This window comes from Homo sapiens, chromosome 1 (genome assembly GCF_000001405.40).
Source record: "Homo sapiens chromosome 1, GRCh38.p14 Primary Assembly".
Lineage (NCBI taxonomy): Eukaryota > Metazoa > Chordata > Mammalia > Primates > Hominidae > Homo > Homo sapiens.
Genome location: NC_000001.11, coordinates 88065715 through 88086373, shown reverse-complemented (window position 1 = coordinate 88086373; position 20659 = coordinate 88065715). Strand labels below are relative to the sequence as shown.

Sequence of the window (20659 nt, the reverse complement as noted above, 5' to 3'; positions counted from 1 at the left end):
AAAAGCCCAGGACCAGATGAATTCACAGCTGAATTCTACCAGAAATACAAAGAGGAGCTGGAACCATTCATTCTGAAACTATTCCAAACAATTGAAAGGGAGGGACTCTTCCCTAAGTCATTTTATGAAGCCAGCATCATCCTGATACCAAAACCGGGAAGAGACACAACAAAAAATGAAAACTTCAGGCCAACATCCCTGATGAACATCGACGCGAAAATCCTCAATAAAATACTGGCAAACCGAATCCAGCAGCATGTCAAAAAATGTATCCACCACGATCAAGTCGGCTTCATCCCTGGGGTGAAAGGCTGGTTCAACATATGCAAATCAATGAATGTAATCCATCACATAAACAGAACCAAAGACAAAAACCACACAATTATCTCAATAGATGCAGAAAAGGCCTTTGATAAAATTCAACATCCCTTCATGTTAAAAACTCTCAATAAACTAGGTATTGATGGAACATATCTCAAAATAATAAGAGCAATTTATGACACACCCACAGCCAATATCATATTGAATGGGCAAAAAACTCAAGCATTCCCTTTGAAAACCATCACAAGACAAGGATGCCCTCTCTCACCACTCCTATTCAACATAGCATTGGAAGTTCTGGCCAGGGGAGTCAGGCAAGAGAAAGAAATAAAGGGTATTCAAATAGGAAGAGAGGAAGTTAAGTTGTCTCTGTTTAAAGACGAAATGATTTTATATTTAGAAAACCCCATCATCTCAGCCCCAAAAGTTCTTGAACTGATAATCAACTTCAGCAAAGTCTCAGGATACAAAATCAATGTACAAAAATCACAAGCATTCCTTTACACCAACAATAGGCAAACAGAGAGCCAAATCATGAATGAACTTCCATTCACAAGTTCTACAAAGAGAATAAAATACCTAGGAATAGAGCTAACAAGGGATGTGAAGGACCTCTTCAAGGAGAACTACAAACCACTGCTCAAGGAAAGAAGAGAGGACATAAACAAATGAAAAAAAATTCCATGCTTATGAATAGGAAGAATCAATATCGTGTAAATGGCCATACTGCCCAAAGTAATTTATAGATTCAATGCTATTCCCATCCAACTACCATTGACATTCTTTACAGAATTAGAAAAACTATTTTATGTGGAATCAAAGAAGACCCTGTATAGCCAAGACAATCCTAAGCAAAAAGAACAAAGCTGGAAGCATCACACTACCTGAATTTAAACTATATTACAAGGCTACAGTAACCAAAACAGCATGGTACTGGTACCAAAACAGACATATAGACCAATGGAGCAGAACAGAGACCTGAGAAATAACACCACACATTTACAACAATCTGATCTTTGACAAACGTGGCAAAAATAAGCAATGGGGAAAGGATCCCCTATTCAGTAAATGGTGCTGGGAAAACTAGCTAGCCATTTGCAGAAAACTGAAACTGGATCCCTACCTTACACCTTATACAAAAATTAACTCAAGTTGGATTAAAGACTTAAATGTAAAACCCAAAACCATAAAAACCCTAGAAGAAAACCTAGGCAATACCATTCAGGACATAGGCATGGGCAAAGACTTCATGATGAAAATGCCAAAAGTAATTGCAACAAAAGCCAAAATTGACAAATGGAATCTAATTAAACTAAAGAGCTCTGCGCAGCAAAAGAAACTATCATCAGAGTGAACAGGCAACCTACACAATGGGAGAAAATGTTTGCAATCTACCCATCTGACAAAGGTGTGATATCCAGAATTTACAAGGAACTGAAACATATTTACAAGAAAAAAACAACCCCATCAAAAAGTGGGCAAGGGACATGAACAGACACTTCTCAAAAGAAGACATTTATGTGGCCAACAAACATGAAAAAAAGCTCAACATCACTGATCATCAGAGAAATGCAAATCAAAACCACAATGAGACACCATATCACGCCAGTCAGAATGGCGATTATTAAAAAGTCAGGAAACAAAACATGATGGTGAGGCTGTGGAGAAATAGGAACTCTTTTACACGTTTGGTGGGAATGTAAATTAGTTCAACCATTGTGGAAGACAGTATGGTAATTCCTCAAGGATCTAGAACCAGAAATACCGTTTGACTCAGCAATCCCATTCCTGGGTATATACCCAAAGAAATATAAATCATTCTACTATAAAGACACATGCACATGTATGTTTATTGCAGCACTATTTACAATAGCAAAGACATGGGACCAACCCAAATGCCCATCAGTGATAGACTCAATAAAGAAAATGTGGTACACATACACCATGGAATATTATGCAGCCTTAAAAAGGAATGAAATCTTGTCCTATGCAGGGACATGGATGAAGCTGGAAGCCATCATCCTCAGCAAACTAACACAGGAACAGAAAACCAAACACTGCATGTTCTCACTCACAAGTGGGAGTTGAACATTGAGAAAACATGGACACAGAGAGGGGAACAATACATACCAGTGCCTGTTGGGGGATGGGAGGCAAGGGGAGGGAATTTAGAGGATGGGTCAATAGGTGCAGCCAACCACCATGGCACATGTATACCTATGTAACAAACCTGCATATTCTACACATGTATCCCTTTTTTTTTTAGAAGAAATAAAGAAAAATCCCCTGAATGACAACAAAAAAGGTCATTTAGCTGCTATGTGGAGAATAGACAGTATAGAGTAAGAATAGAGGCAGCAAACCTGCTAAGAAGCCATTGCTATTGTCAGATACAAGGTGATAGTGTTTGGATTGGGATGAAATGTGTAGATATGGTGAGAAATGGTCCACTTGGGAAATATTTTAAATGTGTATTTGACAAGATATGTTGATGAATTGAATGTGGGAAGTGAGAGAAAGAGAGGAATCAAGGATGAATCCAAGATTTTAATATTAGCCTCTAAATGAATGTTGGCACCCTGTACAGGTATGAGGAGCATTGTGAGAGGAGTACTTGGTGGGAAGAATGGGGAGTTCACTTTGTTTGTAAATGTTAAGTTTGAATTGACTATTACACATCCAGGTGTAAAGTGAAGTCAGTATTTGGACGTATGCATTGAGGTCTGGTTGGGACAAGAATACAAGTGGGAAATTAAGAGTATAGAGGTGGTACTTATAGCCACAAAAATAAATAGGATCACTGAGGGAGTGAGTGTAGATAGAGAAGAGAATTGCAGACTGAGTCCCAGAAATGATATTTTATGCAATTAATGCATTGCCATAAGCCATGTTAAAATTACCACATGCTTCTTTGGAAAAGCAACAACAAACCAAATTCTTTGTTTCATGGGTTATTTTAAAAATATAATGGTGTGTAGAATTAGGGTACTTGAGTTCTTCTTTAATTAGTCTTCTGAAATAATTTGTATTTTTCAATGCTTTTTATAGTACTTTGTGCAGTATTGCAACCTAATACAATAATAGATGACTCTCATTTTACTTAATTTTTAATCCCCTTATTAACTATAAAATATATAGAAGGTTAAATATTATAAAATTCATAGTTCTGGATGGCTAAAGAGATGTGAAAAATGCTTGGAGAAACATTCTCAATTTGATTCAGAGATCTACCTATCACAAAGGGTGTATTTCCTATCTATATTCATAAGCCTGATTTAATAAAAAATAGTTTTACCAGGCCATACCAATCAGTAATTGGCACTTCAAAATGCTTTGTTTGAAAGGGATTCTAATAAATTCTAGTAATTTATTAAGCATCTAATGATAGTTTACTAATGATGCAAGAGGATACGTAGGAGACAACGGACCACAGAAACTGGCAAATCAAAGAGATACAGAAATGTGTAAGCCATTGACTTTAGAGAGAGACACATAGAGAAGTAATATAAGATGAAGGACTTGAGAATGGAGGGTAATAAAAGGAACCACCAAATGTGTCTAATTATGGAAGTAGCCAGCCGCAAAAATTCCTAATTGGAACTCTGATGTTATGCTTTAGCAAGGAAACTTAAATTCCATTTCACTGGTGTGGTCAAGATGAAGAGCCTTTTTGATCTTGGAGAAGAAAAGCCAATGAGCTGGCATAACCATTTGAAATCTTATGCCATCGATATACTCAATGCTAGGCAAGAGCAAAAGAAAGAAAAATGAGCCAAGTGAAAGAGTTTTCTTAAAATCTATCCCATGATGATATGAATGGTAATAATAATAACAACAATATATTAAATTTATAAAGAACCATTAACAAATGATCTTATTCGAGTACCATTATAAATCAATGAGGTAGGTTGTATCTAATTGTCTTTAATATGTCCACTTTACAGATGAGCAAATGAGGCTTGGAGAGGCTTTGCAATTGTCAAGAGGCACACAGTTTTTAAGGGAAGCATGACCAGTCATCTTGTCTGTCTGGCCCCACATTGCATGCACATTGAGAAACATAGGGCAGCAGGTGTAAGCACAGCCCTGTGCAGCTCTAGCTCCTGGTGATACATGTCTAATGTGCTGTCTTGAGCATCTGAGCACAGTCTCTTTTTATGCTTTTCTTTGCAAAATATTCTTAAGAGAGAGGGTCCTAACAGCAGACTTGGATTTTCTTTAAAGTGGCATTTAAATTGTTCAGAGTGAGAGCTGAGTGCAGTGGCACACACCTGTAGTCCTATCTGTTTATAAGGCGGAAACAGGATGATCACTTGAACCCAAGAGTTGCCGGCTGTAGTGCACTGTGATTGTGCCTGTGAATAGCCACAGGACTTCAGCCTGGGTAGCATGGCAAGACTCTGCCTCTTAAAAAAAAGTCCAGAGTGGATCAAAATGGAATTTGATGGATGATTATCATTGATTACTTCAAATAAAATCTTTTCTCAAAATCGGATAAATGTGTTTGATTTAAAAAATGGAATAACTAGCAAAACTCAAGTCCCAAAAGCATGAGAAGGGTACCTAAACTTTGAAAGGTCTTTATAAGATTCTTCCTACTTTGCCATATCCAGAACACATTATCAGGAACCAAGACTAGGATATATGGTTTTCACAGTGCTTTGAATACTCCCCCAAGTAGCCCATTTTCCTTTGAAAATTCCTTGAGTCACCAGTTGTTTCTGCTTAAGGTGGCTCTGCTTTGCTCCTCATTGCATCTGAGCTGGACATTTTGTCAGTTTCTGCTTCTCATGGGAATTAAAGTCAGGCTACCACACACACACAAACCATAGACTGGGTGACAAAGCAAGACTATCTCCAAAAAAAAAAAAAAAAAAAAAAAAGGCAATCTTTTCCTCCTAGAGAAATTAGACTTGAAATTGAATGACAGTTATGAGTTCTTTTATCACATATTACTGAGAGCTATTTTCCTGAGTCATCTGCTATAAACAAACAATACAACAGGCTGTAATGAGAGTCAAGGTTCATCCACCATGAATTGCTACATAAATTCTAAATAATATATTTATATATCTGTTTCCCAATTTATCAACTTTAGACTGCATCTATTTATGCCAAACTATAAAACATTGGGATTTTAACACACTTATCTCTCAGTTTTATTAGTTATATTATTAGTACTTCTAGCCATTACATTTATAACTAAATAATATATCTAGGCTTTTATTTATTCTTTATTCATCAATTTAGAGAGCATCTATTGAGTCTTAACTAGATAAGTGAGGAAATTAATGAGCCTACTTTTTTTCATCTATTTTTCTCTCCCTTTCTTCAGATCCCAGTACAATTAATTATACTATTACTCTTATATGTCTTGTAATTATAATTGTCTTCTTTGGTTTGTCTCTGTAAGTTGATTTTATAAATTGAAAATCAACACCTATGTAATATCATTGTAATATAAATATTATTTCCAGCACAACGAAGTGAAGTGATTGGATTCACAGAGAAGTATATGTCCATCTTTGGACAATTTCAATTTCCACCACTTAAAGGAGACTGTTGAGTCTAAGCATCAAGAGCAAACAGAGTCTATTTTCCTGGCTATACTTGTTAACTTCCTTAGAATGAGCGCATTGTTTGGATGATGGCTTTCATTGCATCTATTTATTCGTAGAATTGCTAAATACCTTTATTTTTCATATTGAGATAGGGAAAACGCAAGTGATTTTATGTTATCATAGAGAACTTTCATTTTTGGATTATGCAATTTGTAAAAGAATCAAGTTGCTTATTAAAGATATTTTTTACATAGCACTCTCACTGATTTTACACATTGCTTATTAGGGCTGCTGCACAATTACTGTCTTTTTGTATTGCCCTGTGTTAGTACCATTGTGTTTCAATTCCATGTCATAATTTCAGGATTCCTGTTTTGTTTCATTGAAGTGCATCCTCTAGTAATTTCTTTTACTTTTTTTTTTTTTTTCTAAGAGAAGGCTTGTATGAGTTCTCCAACAGAAATGACAGTTTGGCTAAAACTTTAAAGTTGCCTGTTAACTAGCTTTTACTTCTGATTAAAAAGTGTAATGTTGGTATATTTTTTGTCCTTTGTTGATAATCTATTTTTTCTCTCTGGGACTTCTTAGGATTTCTCATTGCTCTTAAGTTCTGAAATTTTATAAAAATGCATCTAGGATTTCAATTTGCGTAATCAGTTGTGCCTTTAGCTCAGTCAAATTTTTTTCTATCATTTATTTGACTGTATTTCCCATGTGTGGGAAAGAATATTATTTCCCTCAAGAATTCTAGATACTTTGATCTGTTCTGAATTGGCATTTGATGAAGCATTGTCCCATAGTTTCCATTCCTTTGTTATTTAGTTCTGGAGTATTTTTCTCAACCCTATCTTCCAAATCACTCAAGTTCATTTTTCAGCCGTGTTCATTCATTATTGAGTTCTTTTATTCATTTCTTTACCTTTTAGAAATCTTATTTAATTTCTTAAAAGTCTGTCTTACTTCCTGATTACTTCTTTTTGGAGTGGTCTAATTGTGTTTTAGGGATATAATATCTTCTTGAATATATACTAGGATACCAATCAAATTTTTATGTTTTCTTCTGTTCTTAACACTAGCTCCACTTCCCTAGGGTCATTTGTTCTATTTGTTTATTTTTGATAACCTTATTTTATGCTATTGGTTAGGTAACTGTCAACATGGATAAATGAGGATCATGCAATTAGCATAAGTTAATGGTAAGATTTTTGTGGTCATTACTTGATTTACCAAAGGCCCCCTCCTCTTCCTGGTAAGGCCACCAGGGGGCTGTGCTTCTGACAGTCAAGCTTCCCTGTGGAATGTGTAGGAAGGAAATAGGCATGTAGCATCAGTTCTCCCAACATCACCATTGAAAGGGAGAGTTTACTCTGAGGACAGAATAAAGTAATTTATTTATTTCATTCCTGTGCCAGCCTGGAGCTGTCTTTTCTTCCCACCCCGCAACTCCACTCACACTTTGGACTGTTGTGTGGGTCTAGAGTTATCTCTAGCTCTGGTCTCTTTTCTCTATTCCCAGTTCTCCAGTAAGGACTCTTGGAAAGACAAGTTTAGAAATCAACTCCCAAGGACTTGATTAAAGTGGAGGCAAATGCTACTCTTTACCCTTGTAGGAGGTGGAGGAATCACCAGTCCCAGCTCTTTTATAGAAATATTTTTATTTAATTGTCCTGAACCTATGTACCAAAGCCCACTCCTGATCCTCATGCCTGTCAACTCCAAGATTGACTCTTTCTGTGCTTCCCTGCGAAGAATGTCTCTCCATCTCATTAAATTGTAATCACTATGAGAGCAGAAATAAACTCTAATTCCCATGGTGTACCCAGAGTCTATGAAAGTGTCTGACATATGATTGGCATTCAATAAATATTTGTTGAATTAATGGATGAACAACATGTGAATTAATAGATATTGATGTCTTCCTCTTGATATATTTTCATTGTTATTTTAATGAATTTTTGAAATGCAGATAGGTGATTGGATCATTTTCAAATTGATGGACTTTTTAATGCATTAAAATCATGACTGAAAATTTTGTACAAGTTTATGATATAATATTACACAAAAGAAAATGCTTAATTGTATACATGCTATGATTACCTCAGATATTAGTTTGTGTGTGTGTGTGTGTGTGTGTGTGTGTGTGTGTGTTTGTGTGTTGTAGGCAGGGACTAGGGAAAAACTCACATAAATGGGAGTTTAATTTGATGTGTTCAATTGCTAGAGACTTGGATTTGTGTTTTCTTTTTGTTTCAATTTCTTGTAATATTATTTATACAATAATAAAATATCAAATTCAATTAAATTCCAAAGGAAAGTGATGCCACAATTTTCCTGGGCAATATAACATGAAAAAAAAATAGTTTACTCTGACTTTTAGAAGGCCTTCTAGGGCTGGGCGCGGTGGCTCATGCCTGTAATCTCAGCAATTTGGGAGGCTGAGGCGGGTGGATCACGAGGTCAGGAGATCGAGACCAGCCTGACCAACATGATGAAACCTCGTCTCTACTAAAAATACAAAAATTAGCCAGGTGTGGTGGTAAGTGCCTGTAATCCCAGCTACTTGGGAGGCTGAGGCAGGAGAATCACTTGAACCTGGGAGGCGGAGGTTGCAGTGAGCTGAGATCGTGCCACTGCACTCCAGCCTGGGCGACAAAGCGAGACTCCATCTCCAAAAAAAAAAAAAAAAAAAAAAAAGAAGAAGGCCTTCTAACACCTAATCTAAAACTTTCCCCTATCTCTTTCGTGTAAGTTGCCCTCCCACTGACTACCCTGACAAACTGTCTTTGCCAAATAGACCTCATCACTGTTCCCAAAGATTCAATTTTATTTGCTTAGACTATCATTATACCCATTCCCTCAAGAAATTTTAAATCAATTTTTCTAGGTATATGCTAAGATCTGAGGATACAAAGATAAATTAGTCTCTTTATTTTTAAAGAGATCATAGTGATACTTCATTGAGAATTCAGAATGATTATTACAGTCTTCTTTGTATATTAGCTGACTTTTGAGAAACTCTCTACAACCTTCACTGTGTCTTTTTTCATAGATCTAATTATAAATATTGAAAGTCTAATTTTCTAATTGCCAAGGAAAAAGAACGTAAAGATAAGAACGACAGGGAAAGAGAGAATAACTGAAAAGGACAAAAAACAAAGAAGGAAATAAAAGCAATAATAGAAATTATTCTAATGAATAAAAACATATAGGAAAATTCAGTGAAGGTGTATTTTTCTTGGGTAAATATGATCAACACAATGAAAACTTTCCATATCACACAAATATTTTTTTCACATTGCAAACTGCATACTCTCATGTTGTTTCCATGTTCTTATGTATGTTTCTACCTACTCTGTGGGGTCATTCATTTGTTTCTGTATTTTGCTTTATGTCATTATTTTATGGCCATGTAAGTGCTATGTAAGAAAGTTATGTTAAGAGGAAGAGTAAATAGATGGTTTTGATTGAGAGTTTAGGAACTTTTCTCCATCAAAGCTCATAGATTTTATGATGTGTATTTTGGCTTCCATGGAAGTATTATCTCTTACTTGACTCAGTTCTACATCAATGAGTCTCCCAGAAAAGTAAGCTATTGCAATAGACAAGGCATTGATGTACTGTCAGTGGAATTTCCTTATGGATTTATATCTCTGTAAGCTCAGGGGGCTAAATGGCATCTCTGTCCATCCAGTTCCTCATGCTGGAACTCTGGAAGTAGCTCTTGACATCTGCCTCTCTTTTCATCCCTCTTTCCTGTCCATCACAGGTCTCGTTGACCCCACTTTCAAAATGGATATTGAATCCTTTCAGTGTTCTTTATTTCCACCATTGGCATCTTGATCTTGATGCAAGCCTCGATCATCACACAGATGGATTACTGAAATAGCTCCCTAGTTACACTTCTAGCTGTTCCTCTTGATCCCATCAACACATTTTTCATATAACAGTAATAGTAGTGTTTTTAAAAACTCAAATTTAACCACATGGCTCCCCTGCTTAAATCTCTTCAGTGACCTCCGTTGCTCTTAGGACAAAACCCTAAGTCCTTGGCCTGATCTTCATGAAGTGTCCTCTGTTAGTCATAATCCACTTCTTTTGGTGAGCATAAGAGCTTTCTGCTTCAGAAATTTAAATATATATTTCTTCTTTACTTGAATAAATCGTATTCAGATTTCTGATTAACTGCCATTTCTCAGAGAATTCTTCTTCTCTCTGTCTTCCATAGGTCCCACATAGTAATTATATGTGTAATTAACAAGTTTTCGGCTGTTAAGTGCCTATCTCTCCCACAAAACCTCAAGCACCATGAGTGCACAAATCATGTCTATTTTGTTTGCTGTCATATTGACAGTGATTAGAACAACATTCAGGTTAGAGTAGTTGCTCAAAAAAAATGTTTGGTGAGTAAATGAATGATGGTCCTTGGCCTGGCAGATGTGGCAATGGAGAGTTAGGTCTGGCCTCAGATATTGGTCAGCTGAGTGCCACAGCAGCTGCCCTGGATGGCTTTCTCTCAAGCTATTCTGAATATTTGTCCCGTCATAGATGTGGTCATTCTGGTTACAAAAGGTTTTTATGTTTGTTTTCTGAAATTAGAAAGGGGTTCATGGCTCCTGAAACAACCTGGGGAAGTAAAACTCAGTATTTCATAATCAAGAATAAAGAAAAATTACCCAATACAACAAATGCCTGATGCTTGTGCTTGTCTTTTAATTCATAAGGCAGCATGCATGGGTAATATATAATAACCATTTATCAGTGTGCTAATAGTGTTTGAAATTCTATTAGGTGACATGATGAGGAAGCTCAGGATGGATGGAGTTTTTATATATTTGGTGTCTTGAATGTGCCTGCCAGAGCCTTTAAAGTCAGTTTAGTGGCCTATTAATGTGTCCATTATGAACCCAATTTCTTACCTTAGTCATTTTAAATCTCATCTGTCTATAACTTAGTATATGTTATTAGCCTAAATTCAAACGTTTTATACCAACTATAATTCTTAGTTGTTAAACTGGTTTTGACTTATTGGTGCTACATTAAAACCTAATAGGTGGAATAATTGACTCCCATAACAATTCGGAATAAGAGAAGTCCATGTTGAGCGCTGTTTCCAGATACATGAAAAACTATGAACAAGTCCCCTTTGCCCTCTACTGCATATCCCTACCCCTGCTGATTCCACACTCCCCCAGGTTCCTAAGCCAGTCATAACTGCATCTAAACAGGAGCCATTAAACCAGGCATGGCTCCAGGGAAACACTTTCAAGGGTTTCACAGGGGAGCCTTTCCCCAGGAGCAGCCAACATCCACCCCTGAAGGACCAAAACGGATAGGCTTTAGATGTTCTTGCTTCAGGAGGACGAGCTTGAGGCCATTCTCAGTGAGAAAAGTGATTTGCCAAGCCCTCTCAGCACTCAGTGGCCATATAGCATTCCAGTACTTCTTTATATTTTAACAAGATGTATGAGAATCTACCTTCCCATCAATTTGCATGCCTTTCTCCTCTCTGTCTCTTAGTAGCACTCTGAGTTTCACCCACCATATGAAAAGTTCAGCTTTCTCCCCACAGAGTGGACTCCTAGGTACAGGTCTCTTTGAGTGGTAATCTTGCAGCCAAGAATCGGGTAGGCCAATGCATGTCTAAGTGCTACAGGCTCAGATATCTGTGTTCCTGGCTCTTGAACCTGTTTATCTTTCTTGCCTACCTGCAAAGTCTCTGGTGCATGCTGTATGTCTTTGAGTGCTTCTCCCCTCTCTGAGAGAAGCAAAGCCTTCTGGGGCGCAATAAAATTGCTTTAGGAAGGCAAGAAACAGATGGAATATAAATGGGTTCAGGTGCTCCAGGGACCTCAATGCTGCTGCAGAAGGCAGGCAACAGAGCATCTAAACAGCAAAAGAATATTTGCTTTTTTTCTCTTAAATGTTGTGTTGGGGCAGAGGAAGTTTCAAGGTTAAGAATCAAAGGTTCTCCGCTTTGTACAAATGATATATACACTGGATTCTGTTTAAAGCCAGTTGCTTTCTAGATTTCAGGAGAAATTTACTGGTGGCTGTAACCTATGTGCAGGGTGAAAGGTAGGCCCTAAATTTAATTCATGGTAAAGTGATTCTTCTTCTACTTGAAGAACTATTTTATAAGAGTGTCTTTGCAAGACTAAAGGGTTTGGGGTTAGACAGAAGCCAATAATGGACTCAACACATGCTGTTTGTCTCACCTTGGACAAGTCACCTAAATTCCCGGAGTCTCCATATTCTAAATTCCAAAATGGAGATAATAAAAGTTGTAATGAGGATTTTTTGGAAGTATATAGGTATGTGCATGTCAAGTACTGGCAAACTGTTAAAACTGCAAGATCAACACATGCCTGAGGTTTACAGTTAACTGCTCTCCCCCTTCTCTCAGATAAATGATGGACAACCTCTATGGTATCACCACTGTCTTCATTGCTCCATTTTACACTTCTCATGAAATTTCTAAGGGTCACAACTTTTAGCCCCTCCTGTCTCACTCTTCTTTATTTCCTTGCAATTTTCATCAATAAGCAAGAAAAATCCAACCAGCAATAAGGCCTAGGATAAGTTTTTCAATTTTGGAGAATAACTTTTGCCATGGAATCAACAGCCTTAGTGAACAGTGTTCTTGCCAAAATGCGCTGCTTCCAAGAAACAATTAATGATAAACAGTGTGTATTAAGTGCTCACTGTGTGACAGGTAATGTTGTAAGTGCTTGACTTGAATTTACCAAATTAATCAACCCCAAAATGCTATGAGGAACATCCGATTTTTACTCCCATTTTACAGATGAGGAAAGTGATAGATCAAGAAGTTAAGTGACTTGTCCAAGGCCAAACAAGTGAAAAAGGGAACTGAGGTGCTGACCAAGGCAGACTGTCTCCAGCACTCATGTCTGTAACCACTAGGAAGGCTGTAATTTAAAAAAAAGAGAGGAGATTTGTCCTGCTTGCCTGGACTTTCGAGCTAAATATAAATCTAAACTCATGCAGAGCAACAGGTCCAATATAGTTTTACTGATACACTCTCTGTACTATAACTTGTATACAATGGCCCGGGGCAATGGGGGAACATATCCGCTGAGGTTTATTGCCTGGCAGCCTAAGATTTATAACCTACATATGGTGGTGGTGTGTTTTTAACATCCCCCTCATGTATATTTTCTTAGCAAGATAGTAAGTTTCTCAAAGGTTGGTGTACAGCTTTTTATTTATCTTGCATATCCCTTATTTACAACACTTTGGGGCTCAGTAAATGGTTTTGATTGGCTGCCTGAATTTCAGTGACTGGGTATGGTGATCACAATGACTACATCTGCAGAATGAACAAAGAGCTAGGGGCATGGTTCATCTGGGAATTAGGGATTTTATTTCAAGTTCTGGGACTTTATCCCTAACTTGGTCTTATAAGATAGCGTATCAGTAGACATTCAAGGTGTATTTCTTGAGTGTTCATCATTAGCAAAGGCCAAGGCTAGGTACTGTGAGGACAAAGGCACACCAGACAGGGCTGTTACCCTCTAAGACCTCACTATATAATGGAAATTAAGTCCAACAATATCCCCCTGGAGAAGTGGGAATCAAACTGGAAGAATCTGGAATGGCTCCTTGGAGGAGGTGGGATTTAGCTAAACTCTACAAAAAGCAATAAGATCGAGAAAAATATATGGATCAAGGAAATGCCAAGAATGCTCCACTTGCCATTAAACAGGGGTAGAAATTTAAGCCTGAGTTGATGCACCCACCTCAGAGCAGAGTTTGTCTTATTCCTACCCTGGAACTTTAATGAGGACAATTACTTCTTTCAAAAAAGTTCTGTAAGATTTAAGAGAGAGAGCTAATCATCTCATGATTTGCTTGGTTTGGGAATTGGGAGGACCAAATTGTTAGATGCCTCGTGTGTATAAAGCAACGTTAAGTGCTTAACAATTAAATAATACATTTTTTAAAAGCACAAAAAAGTATTATTTAATCCTCACATTGGTTACAAATGAAGAAACTGAGTTTTAGAAAAAAATAATTTGCTCATGATCGTGCAGGTAAGTGGCAGAGCAGAAATTCAAACCCAGGTCTGTCTGACTCCAGAGTTCATACATTTGAATAATATATACCTTATTCTGTCAAATTATCTGAGCCTTATCCTGGTGTGGGTTCTTGTTTATTCTTCTCTGCAAACACTGCATTTATAGAAAAGTAAAAAACACCTACAAATTCAAAGTTTACTTTTATTCATGTATCTTGTAGTTTCACATTAACTGCCTATTTTTCTTTTCTTTATCACCCCAAAGTTTTTCTTTTTTATTTTTTTAACTAGAACTTTTCAACCTTCTGTGATCTCTTTATAATTCCCTTTAGAATGCATAATTGTGCTCGATCAATTTGTTAGAGGCTTTTGAAGTGTTAAAAAAACTACATTAAAATTATTTTCTTTCAGGTTTTATGTTAATGAACATAGGTGCTATTCAGAGCAAAGTCAGAGTGTCAAGGGAACTTTAGTTAAAGTTATTCATACATAAACTAAAAAAGGAAACATCTTTAGTAGAGGAAAAATACATTTAATGAGTAAGTACGGCACACAATTCCTCCTTTCAAAAATGTCAGCTCGTATTGAACCTCCATTCTAGATATCGTACAATTACTTTGTCAACAGAAGGTAGAGTAGTGATGGATGACGCATTGGTTCTTGAAACCAAACTTTCTGTGAGTTACTTAGGCTGAAACTAAGTGCTTTTACATTCCAGTCTTATTGATGATAGTGGTTTTATATTTATCACCCTGTCATTTCAGTTGACTGTATCAACCTCTTCCCTGTAAGAATATGGACACTAATGGAGGTGTGTCCTTAGTGCTCTGAAGGGTCACAGATTCATTCTGTGAACACAGTCAGGGCACAGGCTGCTTTGCGTTGAAGCTCAGAGGCAGCTTTACCCATTTCAAAAAGGGATCAGCAAAGAGGGCCTTAAAAGGCCTTTGGAAATTGTGTTCTTATTGGCTCTCTTTTGACCATGACCCATCCTTGTGGTGCTGCACACAGAGGCTTTCGTCTCTCACTAATGGAGCATTACTATTTTGCAGCCTCCCCTATAATAGGAAGAATTCTACCAGGACCTTGGCAAGTCGGGGACCTGATTGCAACACTTTATTTATAAGAAATTCTGTCAAGAATCAATAATAGTCTTGGGTCTCAAGTTCTTTCTTTAATAATACTTTGATATGATTTGTCACAAGCTAGCCCAGAGTATCCTCGAGATTTTATTACTTAGCTTGCAGCACAGTGTCTTATCTTTGAGTCATGAGATCAGCCATGGGGAGACCTTTAAAAAGCTGTATGCTTTACTGTTTGGTTATTACAGAAAGTCTATATTACTCAATAATACCTTTTATTATAGGGTGTGCTGTCACATCTTCACAGAGATGTTTAACCCCAATGTAGATATACTGAATGCCTGGAGGCCATTTTAGTGACATGGACATTGTTTTTCATGACTGGATGCCTGATGTATCAATAGCAGTGAAAAACAGAAAACAAATGGAACTATACAAAAATAAAATCACCACCACAACAGAAAAACCCACTACCACCGTCACAAAAAATGTTGACTTATTTTCTTAGCCTGACATTTCTGACCAGATCTCAAACTAACTGTTCATTTTGACAAAGATTTTGTTTAGAGTCCAGAGTGTTAGATTTTTATTACCTGAAAGCAGCAGAAATTTGGAGAAGTCAATTTAGATTCCTTTCTTGTGTGCAAGCAGCTCCTTAGGTTTCACCGTACATCTCAATAAACACAATCCTACGACATCAGTAGCATGCTGTAGAGCAATGGCTCTAAATATGTTTTATGCTGCTCAGCCATGGAATTCATATTGTTACAGCTAATGCCTGTTGGTAAATGCTTGTATCGTTACATGTTGTATTTACAAAACTATATATTGTCAGCTTAGAGTTTCGTCTCTCCAATCTGTTTTTCTTCTTTGAAGGAAAATAGCAGAAAATGTACTAATACTCACTGTAGACAAAACACACACATACATACACATGGAAACACACACATACACACGCACACACAAACCAAGATTTTAAAATGGTAATCATTTTGAATTTTGAAATTAGAGAAAATGAGGGAGAAACACTCCTTGGAAAGTTATTATTTTAGATCTTTCATCTGTCTCCAAATTGGTACTAATCTTCCATGTAGATTTAAGAAAATTGTTGGTATGTGAGCAAACATTTTATTTAAAAGTTTTCTGTTTTGTTCTTGCGGCTGCTGCTGTTGCTGTTGCTGAAGGGGAATCTCCTTATGCGGCCAGCTGGCTTTCCCAGCAGCTCCCATCCTGGCTGACGTGTGCAGGGCACAAGGAATGAAGCTCTGCCCTGGGCTCAGCATAGACACACCGCCACTGCCCAGAAGACATCCTGGCTTTATTTCCTTGCCTTGTGCAGCATAAGCAGAGGCAGCAGTGGTCACAGCTTCTGGCTGTGACAGGCTGCTCTGAGAACTTTGTCTTTCTCCTCTCACAAGGCCAGGTGTGCCTTCCAGTCCAGAGACTGAAGGTACTTCTCGTCACCCGCTCATATTCTCTGCCCACACTGGGCTTCTGCTGTGGCTTAGGGCTAATGGGTGACAGGCTTCTCCTCCTGGCATTGCTCCATTATGCAGCTTCCCCAGCACTGAGCAGTGCTACGAATGTGTGATAACCTGCCTCGAGATTGACCTAAGAACCCTAGCTTTACCTGTAGGACTTTGTCTAAGGGCAGGAGAAAGGAATCTGTATTTGCTAAATATCTATCGTGAGCCAAAATCCGAGCTGGACCCTTGACATGCATTGGCTTGTTTAATATTCCTATCACTGTCAAGAAAGTATCATGCCCTCTGTGATGCAAGTGAGGAACCCTACATTCGGAGATTAGAGAGTTTGCTGCCATCATACAGAGGACAGTGTAGGAACTGGCCAACAGGGTGAGGGAGATTGAACTTCAAAATTCCTACTTTTGCTACTAAAAACCATGCCACCAAATTAACCATGCTGCCAGCTTCTTCCATATTCACATGGATGACTGTTCCTTTGAGATTCTTATAGCCTACTCTCTAGCCCATTCACCACACCATCCAAGCACTCTTCTCGCTTCCTATCCAAATCCTGCCATTTTTTCAAAGCCAAGTTCATTCCCACTTCTCCATGAACCCTTCTCCAGTAAACCAATTCAGATATTGTGTCTAAACTTTTATTTTGAAATAATTGTAGATTCATCTACAATTATAAGAAATAATGCAGAGAGAGCTTGTATATCCTTCACTGTATTAGTCTGTTCTCCCACTGCTAATAAAGACATACCCAAGACTGGGTAATTTATAAAGGAAAGAGGTTCAATTGACTCGCAGTTCAGCATGGCTGGGGAGGCCTCAGGAAACTTATAATCGTGGCGGAAGGGGAAGCTTCAAACACATCATTCTTCATATGGTGGCAGCAAGGAGAAGTGCTGAGCAAAAAGGGGAAAAGCCCCTTATAAAACCATCAGATCTCGTGAGAATTCATTCACTATCAGGAGAATAACATGAGGTTAGCTGCCTCCATGATTCAGTTACCTCCCACCGGGTCCCTCCCACGGCATGTGGGGATTATGTGAACTACAATTCAAGATGAGATTTGGTTGGGGACACAGCCAAACCATATTATTCACCCAGTGTCATTCAGTTTTAATATTTTATATAACTATGGCACAAAATCACAAAGAAAATATTGACGTTGACACACTCTATCAACATTACTCAGATTTCACCAGTTTTACATGCATTTGTGTATGCGTTTATTTAGTTCTATGGAATTTTATCACATGTATAAATCTGTGTGACTACCACCACAATCAAGATACAGAATAATTCCATCACAAGGATCTCTTGTAATACCCTCATATAGCCATAGTCATCTCCCTACTTCTCTTGTAATACCCTCATATAGCCACAGTCACCTTCCCTGCCTAATCCTGGCAATCAGTAATCCATTCACAATTTCTATAATTGTGTTATTTCAATAGTGTTATATGAACTGAATCATACAGTATGTAATCTTTTGAGAGCAAACCTATTCAGTTTGGGAACTTCTAATCTTGACTTAAATACATTTTGTGTGAAATCACTCATTCATTCATCCATTCAAATATATTTATAGGACAACTACAGTGTGATTGGTACTATCTGAGATACTAGGAATACAGTAATAAACCAAAGTGACAAACATCTCCTTGTAATATATTTTGTTCTTTTTTCATAGTGACATATATTGCTTTTGAGAAATTTCTTGTTTGCATTCTTATCCCAGCAATAGATTGTAAACTCCCTGAGAGCAGACAACTCATCAAACAAGTCTGTTGTTTCACATATAAGGCCTAGAGAGGCAAACCTTTACCAAGAATATAGAACTTGGACTTACCCTGTGGAGAGACACCTATAGAGGTCATCTGGTCCATTCTCCTACTAAAAGATCATTAAAAGAAGAGAAACTATTACTCTCTAACACACGTGAAGGGCTTTGCATTGAACAATAACATGTAAAGTAATCTAAATATATCAGCTCCTTTCACCACCCCATCAGCCTTCAGCACCTCTCACTCACAGACATCACACTATCAATCTTGATGCCTCCCACTCAGGGTAAGCTCAGTAGCTCCACTTTGATTTGTTACTGGCCTGTGCCACAGATGCCCGCATCCTCTGGATAAAGAACTGCACATCAGAAAAGAATAAGGCCTGCTATCGTGTATGTGGTACAATTGTCTCACGTATATATGCTCCTCTGCTACATCTGACACCAAGCTTCCCTTGTAGACCATTGTTCAGTCCTTCTCTTCTTGTACACAGGGCAAAAAAGCAAGTTCTTCCCTTCTTCTTAGCATAAAGATTCTGCTAGGGCCTGTTAATATTCTCTCAATCTGGTGCAAAGGAGGGAAAAATGAACTCAGTGAGTTTGGTAAAGGTTGATTGCCCTCTTGAAATAGGTCATCAGCAAATTTAGACCTATGGAAACATACAAATTTCCAATATGGAATGTGGCTGTTATCAGATTATCATAGATTTCTATTGAGTAATAAACCAAGCAGAGTGAATTCTTTTGTAGGATTCTTAGTCAAAAATTTTATGACAACAGAGTTGAATTTCGCAGACGCAATTATTTAAATTGAGTTATTTTCCTCCTGCATAATTACGGCTCTATTTTCTCTTTATTATACAATTGTTGACAAAGAATGGAAAGTTAAAACCTCAGTGGTGAATGTTGTATTCAGTTTTCTGCATAAGTGAACTTCTAGAAACTCCAGGATACACAGTAAATTTGTTTTAAAAAATAACCACTGTCCTGAGGGGACGTTTGGGGCAGTTTTTACTTCAGCACCTCCAGAATATCAGACTTGGTACAGTAATCATTTATTAACTCTAGAAGGATAGAATGAACCCTTGTATCAGATGATACATTAGAAAGATGAGAACTGAAGTATTCCGTAGATTTGAAAAGGTTCCTTTATTCAATATGTGATGTTCAGAGGATTGAGTTGTTGGCACCAGATGAAGCAGACAAGCTTATTGGCAAAATGAAACATGTAGACTTTTATGCCTGGCTATTGATGAACTGGCTGGCCTTGCTTGCTACCCAATGTGAGTTTTTCTTAGATTTTGTGCTTTAGAAATCATAATTTCATTGGAGGATAAAGTGGTCTAGATTTGGCAGTGAAACATTTTTATGACCTCTAGTGCACAAAGGAAATTTTAGTATAACAAAATGGGTTCAGTCCATGATTCATTTGGACATAATTTCTGAAGACACTCAATCCTGAGCTGGCCACTATCTTCCATCCATAACACGTATCACTCTTTGTCCATCATTCAGGAAAAAGGGTAGAGAATCCATCAGGAAATAGACTTCTGTATGGTAGAAATCTACTTGGATTTCACAGGCTGTTTGAAACTGCTCTCTTTGGTTGGAACTGGAAAGAAAGAAACCATCTCTGTCAAGATGGAATGGGGGAGATATGCCCTTTTGTTGATCAACACAATTGAGTGTAACAGGTGGAAAATCTTGCTTTTTGCAAGTTACATAGAGTATAATGAAAATTGGTGCACATTAATAAATTATTTGGATCCCATAGGTTCTGAAATGGTTTCAGGAAACAAAGTTTCCAGAACAATAAGCAAAACTAAAAAGTGGTCTGAGATATTTTTAGCAAATTCTTTCACTTACTATTTAGAAGAAAGTAATTATAGCATTCCAGAAAATTATTAAAAACCTTGTAGGAAAAGTAAAACATTTTTATTCTTCAAGTTATCATAATTTTTTCTTGGAAATAATTTAATATTTTTGCCAGGCCCTGGAGGGAAAATATCTAAAGAACAATGGCATGCTGACAAAAGTTAAATCTAAAATTTACTGAGGTTATTTCCAATTTTGACAGAAACCAAGTATCTTTTAAGAATGGGACAAAAGCCAGTCTTAACTGATGTTAATGTAGACGAGATGAATAAAGTTTTCAGAGCAGATACCCTCATGTAGAGTATGCAGAGAGATTATCATTATTGTTTTTCTTACCGTCTTCAATCCAATCAATAGATTGAGACTATGTGCCACGAGGGGGAAACAACATTAGGGGAGTAGCATTGCATGCCCTAAAGTGGAATAGTGGGGGATTTGTTGCTGGAGGTACAATTTGAACTGCCAAGTTGCTTGTTTTCACTCTAGACAATTGTAGATAAGTAAGAATTTGCTATCAGATTTTT

At 37.4% G+C, this 20659-nt stretch overlaps 1 annotated feature.

The window, feature by feature from the left end:
• Positions 13667-16338: an enhancer, noted in NCBI's record as "VISTA enhancer hs1198". NCBI's record gives its function as "enhancer in: other[4/6]" and the evidence as "EXISTENCE:transgenic organism evidence [ECO:0001131][PMID:17130149]".